This window comes from Homo sapiens, chromosome 16 (assembly GCF_000001405.40).
Source record: "Homo sapiens chromosome 16, GRCh38.p14 Primary Assembly".
Taxonomy (NCBI): domain Eukaryota; kingdom Metazoa; phylum Chordata; class Mammalia; order Primates; family Hominidae; genus Homo; species Homo sapiens.
This window is the reverse complement of record NC_000016.10, coordinates 7,602,782-7,615,257: the sequence shown is the minus strand read 5'-3', so window position 1 is coordinate 7,615,257 and position 12,476 is coordinate 7,602,782. Positions and strand designations below refer to the sequence as shown.

At 40.6% G+C, this 12,476-nt stretch overlaps 1 protein-coding gene across 52 annotated transcripts in view; it reads right to left on the bottom strand.

Annotated features, from left to right (window-relative positions):
• The window catches only part of RBFOX1 (RNA binding fox-1 homolog 1), a 2,473,620-nt gene that overhangs the window by 98,083 nt on the left and 2,363,061 nt on the right, over positions 1–12,476 (bottom strand). For all 52 annotated transcript variants that reach the window (NM_001415887.1, NM_001415888.1, XM_017023318.3 and 49 more), the window contains one exon: positions 7,920–7,973. In NM_001415887.1, the coding sequence (NP_001402816.1) occupies positions 7,920–7,973 (54 nt within the window). The remainder of the gene's footprint in view (positions 1–7,919; positions 7,974–12,476) is intronic.

The window sequence follows — 12,476 nt, the reverse complement described above, 5'->3', positions numbered from 1 at the left end:
AGGTTCACGCCATTCTCCTGCCTCAGCCTCCCCAGTAGCTGGGACTACAGGTGCCCGCCACCACGCCCAGATACTTTTTTGTATTTTTAGTAGAGATGGGGTTTCACCGTATTAGCCAGGATGGTCTCAATCTCCTGACCTCGTGATCCACCCGCCTTGGCCTCCCAAAGTGCTGGGATTACAGGCGTGAGCCACCGCACCCGGCCTTCATTCATTATTATATTCTGTGACCTCATGAATAGAAGACACTGAGGACATGCCCTCATCTACACCTCCTGAGGATGCTGCGTAGCAAAGCAGTGAAAAAACATGGGGTTGAAACTTAGGAAAAAAGACCTTTATATAATAACCAGAATTTTTCACATGGTAGTTCTGTGATTTGGCGAATGAGGTAAGCTTTCCCAGAAACCTTGACTTCATAATTTGATCATGAAAATAATGGGATAGCATTTTCATAAGGATTTGAGGAGAAACAAGGTGTTCAGCACAGAGCAAGTACCTGCAAGTGGCTTGCTGTTGTTGATGGTTTGAGTTTCTCACTATGTGGACAATGGTAACTTAAAACTTCCCCTGTGAAATTTTTCCAGAGTCGGATATCCAAACCTCATTCGCTTCCCATAGCCTGGATGTGAAGCTTCTTGTACAAGGACTACCTTGACACCCCCTGCTTTTGGGGGGAGCAGTTCTTGACAGACTTCCCACACACAAGAAAAAGAACCAATTTACTTCAAAAATGCAGTTTTTAGCACATAAGCAAGTACTGATCTTATCTGAAGATCAAAAAACCCCACAGGCTTCATCAAAGATGAGTTGCATTCCCTCTGTGGGATCTAGAAGGACGCAGATAAAAATTAAGGCCAAATATGGGCAGGGCTGGAATAAAATCTGATAAGACAGAAGAGGGGAGGAGAGGAGAGAAGCGAAGTGAATTACAACTAAAAGGGGAGGCAAAGGTAAACAGATGTGCAAGATAAACTCTTTGAAGTGGAACATTTCCAGGCTGAAAATCCTTTGCTCGGGGACTTAAATCTGGACTCTCCTGTTCCAGTTCACTGAAGTGCACTGCATTTGAATTTGGCAGATGCGTAAACTATGCAAAACATCCCAGAGCCAAAGGTCAATGGTTCATGAGGAACTGCTCCCTATGGCCATTGATTCGAGTCTAGTCCTCCTGGTGGGTATGAGAAAGTGTTGGAGCCAAGAGGGGCACCTGAATATTTGCTGCTTTGAAGGGCTTGGATGGTAACAGTTACCTTGTAAACCCACACTGTGCTCTTTCATCCCAAACAGGGCATGCTTTATACCTAGGACTTTTTATAGCCAAATCACCCTGAGCCCAATGCCAATCTGAATAAAATAGAGCAAACTTGTGTCAGGGACCACAGTGATCAAAGGTGGGTTCTAGACAATCTTAACTTTTCTCAGATGCTATTGTATCCAAATTGTAGGAAGGGAATTGAAAAGAGGTACAGCTAAAAGTATGACTAAAAGTCATTCTCTTAACGGTAATAGACTCTTGGTGGTGGAAGTGGGAGGAAAAAATGTGAGGGAGCCTTCATAGACCTTCTTTTGACCCAATTCTGAGATGAATCATGGTTCACTCTAGCCCACAGAAAACCAATACCTTTGGTATGGGTAAATCCGAGGTCAAATACAGTTGCCCTTTTGAGATAAGCAATCAAAGAGTGTTATAACCACCCTCTTCATTTTTAAACTTCATACTGAGATCCAAATCCACTTTCCCATCACCTAGCCCAGCATCAAGTCATGTGATCCGTGGCCAGGTTCTTTCTGAAATGGATATAATCAGTCGAGGTGACTTTGGTGATCACATGAATCTCTTCTATTTCTATTTTACAGTCTGTGATGTTCTCTGATGCTCATATTATCTGATCGCCCCTGTAACCCTAGGGTGAGCTTGTTTCAAGACCTGACCACCTTTCAAATGTGACTTTGCAGTCAGGCATGGCGCATTTTTAGTTCCTGTCATTTTCTTTTCCCTCTCAAAACCACAAATTGTTCTTTTCAGGAGTATCCATTCAGAATCTCTTTATTCCCCCCAAATTCCACTAATAATAAATATCCCTAGGGGTGGTTTTTGTTTTCTTCAAGGTTTTCAAGTTGATCTACTCTGCATCTCCTTATTTTTACTTTAATTGTATGTATCTCATCTCTGGGACCTAACTATATCTTAGATCTGCATTTCCGTTAGAAGATCTTTGCCTTTCCCTATTGATCACGTCTCATGGAGTAATTTAACTCAATTCCAATTTCCCTTTGCAGGCGGGGTGCTCTCCATCCACGGAAGTGAGTTATGTGTGTTCAAGTGGTGCATCTTATGAATCTTGTTAAGCTTTGCTGCCTTATAGTCCCGCTGATGGAATATTTAATCACAGAAATGAGTTGGCAGATATGATATACAACGTGGGTGAGCTTTGCAGTGTGTATTTTACTGGCAATTGAGAAACAGATAAATTTACCATTTGACAGCCCCGTGCTGACAACTTTGTGTAACCTTCTGTTATTTATTTTGATTTTGCTTTACTTATTCATGAAGATTAAAGGTGCCGTAAATCAACAGTTTCATTGGCTGGATATCGTGATTATCTCTAGAAGATACTGCTTTTAAAAATATATATATATATTTTTTTATTAGAAGACAAGGGAAATTCTCACAATGACAGAGAAAGTGTAAGAATCCCCTCTGAGGCCTATTCCTCCACATTCTTGGAAACACTATTTTTAACTACACTAGATAACATGAGGCCTGCTACTGGGTAGAGATATTCTGAGTCTACTTCTCCTTACTGCCTTGATTTTACTTAAACTCTAAAGAAGGGCCATACACATTGGCCAAAGACTTCATGACTCACCTGGATTTGTGTGTGGGGACTTACAATCATTTGTCTTTTTTTTTTTTTTTTTTTTTTTTTTTTTGAGATGGAGTCTCGCTCTGTTACCCAGGCTGGAGTGCAGTGGCGCGATCTGGGCTCACTGCAAGCTCCGCCTCCCGGGTTCATGCCATTCTCCTGCCTCTGCCTCCCAAGTAGCTGGGACTACAGGCGCCCACCACCACGCCCGGCTAATTTTTTGTATTTTTAGTAGAGACGGGGTTTCATCGTGTTAGCCAGGATGGTCTCAATCCCCTGACCTCGTGATCCACCTGCCTCGGCCTCCCAAAGTGCTGGGATTACAGGCGTGAGCCACCGCGCCCGGCAAATCATTTGTCTTGAATAAGCCTCAAGGACTCTGGAGATGATTAGATTTTAGAAGAAATTATCAATGCTGTTTTTGCTTTATAGAAAACTACCCATCTCTCCTGGGAGAAGGTTTATATTAATATATGTCATGGGATGTGCTGATGTATGTGTATCTGCTCTGAAGACTGGCACGGAATAAGCATTTAGAAAGATTTTTATAAGTATGACTTGATGAGAATTCAGAAAAGAAAAACCATCCAAAATACATTAGAACGTTCTCAATGCTTCCTCTGGAAGGCACGTGTGAGGGAGAAGGAATGTCATAATTTATCAATGCAAATAGTAATTAAAGGTCCTCATTAAGTGCAATGGCTCTTCCTGCCTCGCCCCCACCCCACCCAAGTTTGCAATAAAAACATACTCGGGGAGTCAAAACATTACATACAAAAATCAATAACTTGCCTTTTTTTTTTTTTTTGAGACAGAGTTTTGCTCTTGTCACCCAGGCTGCAGTGCAATGGTGCAATCTTGGCTCACTGCAACCTCTGCCTCCCAGGTTCAAGTGATTCTTCTGCCTCAGCCTCCCAGGTAGCTGGTATTACAGGGGCACACCACTATGCCCAGCTAGATCTTTTGTATTTTTAGTAGAAACAGGATTTCACCATGTTGGCCAGGCTGGTCTCCAACTCCTGAGACCACCCTCCTCGGCCTCTCAAAGTACTGGGATTAAAGGCGTGAGCCACCACGCCTGGTCAATAACTTGCCATTTTATAATTAAAAGAGAAAATAAATGTTAGGGACAAGTCTACTAAACTAAGAAAATTACCTTTAGGAGAGATTGAAAATATTGATTTTAATTTACAAAATATGTGAACTTTTCATGCCTCATTCTGAGAGACAACGGGAGGCTGGGTTGTTAATTCTGCATAAGCTTCAGAAAATCAAATAATTACACTATGAGAATATTATAAAACATGTCATTAACACACAACCTTATATAGAGAAATGACTAATAAGTCTGGCTTTCTATCTTAAGCAGATACAGAGCCAGCCTACTAAAAATACAAAGCAAATCAATGACAAGGGGTCTTCATTTCAGCTTTGAGGCACACTCAGAATTGCAAGATAAATTCAGACTATTTTTATAGCTGGGGAAATTTTAAATGCCCCATAAATTCTTAGTCATGGATCTGTAGATGCGTGACAGTAATAATTATACCTGGATATGGAAATGAATGCACTCTGCATCTATCGCTTTGCATAGGTCCATTCCATAGATGCAGGTGCCTGAAACTTCAGATTTAAGCCAGCCAGACTTTCAGTGTTTGCAGGTCTTCAAATATTTCAAAGGAATTGCTCTGCAGTGTTAAAATTACAGCTACATGTCCCCACATTTCTGAATATTATGAGCTCTGTCTACCTACATACAAACGTACAGCTGAAAAGAGGAAAGCATGTGGATTTTCCGGATAATCCGGATAGTGGCAGCATGAAACACAGATACTCAGATTTGTCATGTAACACTTGTGAATATGGTGGTGGTGGTGGCAGCTGGAATCATACAGAATGATTATGTTACCTCTCTTCTTTTATTTCACTGGTTTGCACACAGAGCAGTAGCATGATCATAGGAGACAGTCGATTGGAATCATGACCTTTAATATTAAAAAAAAAAATAAATAAACAGGCTGGGCGCATCACTTGAGGTCAGAAGTTCAAGACCAGCCTAGCCAACACGGCAAAACCCTGTCTCTACAAAAAAATACAAAAATGATCCGGGCATGGTGGTGGACGCCTGTAATCCCATCTACTCGAGAGGCTAAGGCAGAAGAATTGCATGAACCCGGGAGGCGGAGGTTGCAGAGAGTCGAGATCATGCCACTGCACTCCAGCCTGGGCAACAGAGCAAAACTGCCTCAAAAAAAAAAAAAAAAAAAAAGGGGGCCGGGCGCAGTGGCTCACACCTGTAATCCCAGCACTTCAGGAGGCCGAGGAGGGCGGATCATGAGGTCAGGAGATGGAGACCATCCTGGCTAACAGGGTGAAACCCCATCTCCACTAAAAATACAAAAATTAGCCGGGCATGGTGGCGGATACCTGTAGTCCCAGCTACTCAGGAGGCTGAGGCAGGAGAATCACTTGAACCCGGGAGGCAGAGCTTGCAGTGAACTGAGACCGCGCCACTGCACTCCAGCCTGGGAGACAGAGCAAAACTCCATCTCAAAACAAACAAACAAACAAACAAACAAACAAAACCCCACCAGTATCAACTGGTTGTAAAGAACACGATTTCTGAGATGATCAAAGCCTGATTTCAAAATCTGGCCTCCTCCTGACCAGCTGAAATCTCAGAGCAGTAATACCAACTTTTTGCATTTTGGTATCCTCATTTGGAAAATCGCCATGAGCATTAAATACATTAAACTTATGTACAGTGCTTAGAACAGTGCTGGCCCATAGAAAGTATCCAGTAAATATTAACTTACATTATAACATTTTCTTTTCCTCTAACTTAATGATCTAACTTCTGAACCTGGGCCCTGGGCTAATCTGAATAGCTGCTCTAATGTTCTAGAAGTCATGCAGATGAATTTATTCTTATAGTTACAAATCAGTCTTAACTGTTTCTCTCATCTTAATGTCCTCCTCAACACCCACAGATATGTCTGTGGCTACGAAAGCACAAGTAACGGGGATATTAGGTATTTTCCTGCTTAATAGACCCAAGGGTGACTGGCAACTCCATCGCACAGGACCAGAAAAATGTAAAAATGCATTTTGCCCTCTCCACCACAACACTCACATCCATACCCTTCCTCCCCACAAGAAGGCTTCTTGTTCTTCACTGGACTATTTTAGGCTGAAAATATGCACTCAGATATGTGCATATAGGAGAAACTGACATTTCTTTAGTCTAACTACTCCATTCATGGGCAGTGCCTGCTGCGGACACATGGAAGCTGTTGTCTGACTTTTCAACCATTTGGAGTATTTGATTTCCTTGCAGCTTTGCACAAAGATGCATCCCAGCAATACATGCCATGTTCTGTGTGTCCCCTGAATAAACTGCCATGCCCCCGATCCCAGAAATTAACACCCCCTAAATGAACACACTGAGAACTGAAGGACTAGTACTCTCATCAATGAAGGAAAGAATCTCTTTGTCTCATAGCATACTCAAAATTCAGCAGAATATGCAGCTAACTTTGCCTTCCTGGTAAAGAGATTAACATATTCATTTTTGTTTACTAAATGTTTACACGGTGCTGGCTACACACCACTCTTCATATATTAACCCATTTAATTCTAATAAATTACTATGAGTTTGTTACTATCATCTCCATTTAATAGATGAGGAAACTGAGGCACAGAGAGGTTAAGTAACTTGCCCAGAGTCACACTGCTGGTGAGTAGGGGAGGCAGAATTTGAACCCGAGCTGTGTAGGCATGGTTTCCATGTTCCTTACTCAGCAGAGGTGTCTTCTCAGGTGGTAGGGTTTGCAATATGATCATGGAAAGCCTGACGGCTAAGTCTCTTCCCCCACAAGAGTGAACACAGCTATTTTGCAGTGTTAGAATCCCTGGACTTAACCCAGGCTCCCGGTAAAACTCATACATGAAGAACAACTCCAAACATCGCCTACGTAAAATCCAGGAATCAGTTATCCTGTTGAGCCTTTCCAGATTTACCAGATTTTTAACTTAAATTTTGTCAGACTGGTTGTTGTGCCAGAGTAGCTAAGTTTTCTGTGTTCCTTTCTCATCTACAAGGGTCAGTGTTCAGTATTAGGAAAATGACAAAAGTTAGGCAGCCCAGGAAGAAACAAAGCAAGGGGTATGACTTACCGTCAAGAGGTTACTAAGGGAGTGGCTCTAGGTCAACGGATTATTTATTTCTCCTTATTAAAAAGCAAGAGCCACATCAAAGAAAGACTTCTTTTAAATAGCCATGTGGCAAACCTACTAAGGTCCTAGGTATTCAATGCAGCCTTGTTCAAGAGCAAGGAGACATACAGGCAGTAGTGACGGGCCAAGCCGAGGACATCGAGACATGAAATCTCAGCCACTACTGCTTCTGGGTTATGCTCTCCCAAAATTTCTAAGAGAATGGATTTCCCAGCTGAGAGGTAATTGGTGCTTAGGCAGGGAAGGGGTGAGGAGAGAGACATATTCTGGAAGGCAAAGTAGAGAGAAAAGGAATTGCTAAGGGAATTTGATTAATGAACGAAGACGGACAACTTTTTAGTTATCGAAAAAGGCCTTCCCTTGGCAATTCTAAATCACTCCCACATTATTGGAATAATTAAGCCAACTCGACTCTCTGCTTTGCCAGGAAAAAGAAAATGCCAACCCCAAATGGAAATGTATGGCTAAAACACACATTCAGGCACATTGAAATACAATGGGTGTGAGCAGCTCTCCATTTGTTCAATACACTATTGAACAAAGTCACAATGCTTTTTTTAGGGCAAAATCAATGTGAATTGTCCTAAGGAGCAGTGGCTCCACGCTGATCCCCCAACCATGAAACTTAGACGATTCCCTTGTAATTTTTAAACTGTTTTAAGCACTCTTGATTTTGCCCAAAGAAATCATTCAGAACTTGTTAGGATAGGAATTCACTTGCTTCAGGTTATTTTACAAAACTCATTCATTCTTGGCAGGCAAAGCACATTTAGAAAAGACTGAGAAGACTTCGTGCAAAGAGAAACTCTGTACCTGCATAGAATTCGGGACTGTAGACTGCACCCACAACTGGATTCAATTTCCAGCCTTAAAACAAATACACAAAAACATTATTATCACATTTGATTCAACATCTTATATAATTGCAAATGAATCACAAATCAAATGGGTTAAAGTATCTCATTTTGTATTTTAAAATGTAAAGGAGGTGTCGTTTGGGCATGCATAAAAATACTTAAAAACCACACATAAGAAAATATATTTATGCCCTTCTTTGATTTTCTGCCAGTGCAAGTTAATGGAATGGAAACTACTGACCAGCCACAAGTGAACCCTTTGAAAATGACATGGTAATTAATTTTCTACTCCATCAATATTTTTTAGAACTACTATAATAATTTTAATTTTTTCTTATTTTATATATCACTGCTAGATAATCCATCACACCCCTCTGCATTAAGTTCACAAAAATTAGAAAGCTTGCATAAACAAAATTCTTGGCAGCAATATATTCTAACAATTGTCATTCCAAATTATAACCTCGAGATACTAGAGAATTCCAAAGTGCTTCATAAAAACCAAAGAAAATGATATTTTATCCCCTAGAGATTTACTGTGGCCTACATTTTGATGCATTCAGGAACTGTAAAAAATTCTTAATCAATGTATGATATCTAAGGTAACTTTCAAATAATCTGTATATATGATTAATGGAATCCTGTAATTTTCCAAATGTTCTGGATGGAGAGTTTTTTGTAAAATGAATCCTGACCCTTTAGAAATCTTTACTCACAAAAAAAGAGCATACAAGAATATTCTCAAATTGGAAAGCACATTACATATATGCTGGGCATTATTTAGGGGAACAATTTCCAGAGACTGATCACGTTTTAGGGTTTTGTTATTGTTTCCTGCTCCTGCTGGCTAAGTCTTCATAAAAGCATCCGTGCGGGCTGGGTGAAGTGGCTCATGCCTGTAGTCCCAACACTTTGGGAGGCCAAGGCAGGGAGATCACGAGGTCAGGAGTTTGAGACCAGCCTGGCCAACATAGTGAAACCCCATCTCTACTAAAAATACAAAAAATTAGCCAGGCATCATAGTGGGCACCTGTAATCCCAGCTACTTGGGAGTCCGAGGCAGGAGAATCACCTGAACCTGGGAGGCAGAGGTTGCAGTGAGCTGAGATCACGCCATTGCACTCCAGCCCAGGTGACAGTGTGAGACTCTCTCGGGAAAAAAAAAAAAAAAAAAAATCCATGCAGGTCGGGCACCGTGGCTCATGCCTGTAATCCTACCACTTTGAGAGGCCAAGGCAGGCAGGTTACTTGAGGTTGGGAGTTTCCAGAGAGCAGCCTGTCCAGCATGGCGAAACCTTGACTCTACTAAAAATACAAAGTAGTAACAACTAATCAGGCTGAGGCATGAGAATCGCTTGAAGCTGGGAGTCAGAGGTTGCAGTGAGCCAAGATGGTGCCACTGTACTCCAGCCTAGGTGACAGAGTGAGACTCTGTCTCAAGAAGTAAAAAAAACCTTGAAAGACAGAGGAGGGTAAGGTGTGTAGTCCTTTGCTCTGAGTCCTTGAGCAGAAGGCCAAATACCAAAGGTCCTTTAATAAATGTTTTTGAGAGAAGGCAATGATTAAAGTTTGAATGTGAAGGAAGGTATTTTTGACAGTAAGAACTTTCTGAGGTTTGCCGAGAAGAGAGAGGTGTGATTTTCTGCCCGAACTAAGAATAGCCCAGAGGTGTTCTTAACATCCACTAAGGAAAACAGAGGCTCACTAACTCAACAGACAGGCCAGTATGTCTATCGAAATCCAGAACTTTCTAAAACTTGATAAGAATGTTTTCTAAGAACTTTCAGTTCCAACCTGAAGAAGCTAGGTGGTTTACAGCCCCCGGGATGATCTCAGAATAGAGATTCTCAAAGTGTTATACTTCTATTACCTGGGAGGCATATTTAATTCCTGGGCCCCCTTTTTAGAGTGACAGAAAGAAACATGAAATTCTGAGACCTACTGCCCTAGCGGTTTCTGAAATTTCATACTGACACCCTCTTCTCTTGTATTAATCACATCTTGCCTTATAAGAATTTCTATAGTGACGTAAAAATAAATATTAGTTCAGACATTTCAGAATGTGTTTTATGAGTATGGAAATGACTTCAATTTGATCAACTGAAATTCCACTGCTTCCTTTTTTTAAAAAAAAGTCTAATTCCTGAGGATATGGGAATTAATATCTACATTTCAACTTGGAGTCTAAGAAAAAGTACAAAAAACTAGTTGAAAATAAAGCTGCAGACATATTTAATGTTCTTTCTTTCTAGTTTTTCACAGAAACCTAGAATTTGTAAACTCTATATGGGGTCATATTAAATGAATAATTATTAAGTGATCACTCTTCATCTTTCCACTGTTACCCATCTCATACTCTACTGATGCTCCTACCTCTTATTGGTAGTGGAGATGGTGTCTTTCCCATACTGTGCATCTCAGGTCTTGTTTCTTGAATATCCTTACTACCTTAAATACTTTCTTTTGCATATAAGACTTCCTTTTCCTTTTCACTGAAGGTATACTTATCAGTGAATTTTGGTGTAGCTCTTAAAGATTATAAATTTGCCAATGATCTCTCATTTTCTAAGAACAAAGCAAAAAATTCCAGATCTCTCAGAGGCATTTGAGGCTACCTAGAAATCATGTTTATCTCATCTGCCTACCCACCTATCCATCTATCTACTGATCTATCTATAAACGTATCTATAATCTGTCTATCCCCCTATAATCTGCTGTTTATTTCCCCATCTTTCTGCAAGTTATGAGTTTGCCAAGTCTGCACATGGCAATCTCTTCATAAAAAAATAAAGAAAATAAATGATACTCTCCTTCATCAGGAGATCTGTGCTATCTCATGTTTGCAAGTATTAATCGTGAGAAAGGTAATTGATAAAGTCTCCTCTACAAGAAACCAGCTGGGAATCTGTGTGCTGCAAAATGAAATGCTTGGGTCATCATGGGAACATGAGTGCAGGTGTCAACCTTCTTCCCATCCTTGATCCCTTCTAAACAAGGCTACTCCACTCCCACTGTTGGAGACCAAAGACCTTTCTGAACTCTGCGATGGGAATGAAAACCCAATTTCTAGTCTCCCTCTTCTCCCCCCACTCATGAAACCTGTTACTCAGCAAGTCCTTCTCCCTTTAGCAAATGGCATATCTATCTACTTGGTTGCTCAAAATAAAATTCATCAACACTTCCTTGATTCTTCTCTTACCCTCATACCCCATGTGTGATCCATTAGAAAATCCTGTTGGTTAAAACTTGAAAAGTCCTTCCCTTCTTCTCCATTGCCACCACTGCAGACCAAGGCATTCCTATCTCTGCCTGGACAAGTTCAACAGCAGAAATGCCCTAATTCTCACTGTCTCCTCTTCCTCCTCCTTCCCCCTGTCCATTCTGGTCATGGTGACCAAAGCAATTTTTTTAAAAAAAACATCAGCTTTGTCATCCTGATACTCAGAATTCAATAGCTTCTTCCCAATTTGAGATAAGCACACATGTCTTACCTTAGTCAATCAGCACACACTAACCATTAACCAAACTATTTGGTACCTCTTTGGTACCACTTCCCTTTTTCCCTTTCCCCGTCTCTCCCAGCTACAGTGACACTGGCCATTTTCATCTTTATAAAACCCCCCAAGACCACCGTATATCAAAGTCTCTTTGTATCCACTTCTCCTTCTTCTTGGAGAACTCTCTAGCTTTTCACAAAGTCGACTTCATGTTATTTAGGGCTCTGGAGTCTTTTCAGAACATGCCAGTTAATGTCACTTTCCCACCTCCTCTTAGAGTTACTCTTGGATTCCATGATTCCATTCCCAGTTTTATTTTCTGCATTGCCGTTAATGCTATCTGGATTTAGCTTCTTTCTTTCTTTGCTTGCTCTTGTCTTTTATAACCATTCTCCCTCATTAAAATTAACAGTCAAGCAGGCAAGACTGCTGTCCAACATGAATCTCCAGCACCTAAAATGTTGTTTGGCAAAGTAAGCATTCCATAAATATTTACTTGGTTTTTCTCTAAAGAAACTAAAGGAATATAGTTTTTCCTAATAGACAAATTTTTTTTTGGCTCTGATTATGTCTCCTTCCAATCTTCAAGGACCTGCTTCCTTCCATAGACTCTACATTAAATAAAGAAGAATCGTGTTAGGGATGACTGTTGTCCCGGTTGCTTAGTTGAAATTACTTTTTTGATGTAGGCGTTTATTACTATACACTTTTTGATTAGCACTGCTTTTGCTGTATCCCATAGACTTTGGCATGCCGTGTTTCCATTTTAATTTATGTCAAGAATTTTTAAAATTCCTTCACTGACCCAATGGACATTCAGGAGCACACTGTTGAATTTCCATGTATTTGTACAGTTTCTGAAGTTCCTCTTGCTATTCATTTCTAGTTTTATTCTATTATGGTCTAAGAAAATACTTGATATAGTTTAGATTTTTTAAAAATTTGTTGAGACTTGTTTGGTGGCCTGACATGTGGCTTATCCTGGACAATGTTCCGTGTGTTGATGAGTAGATGAT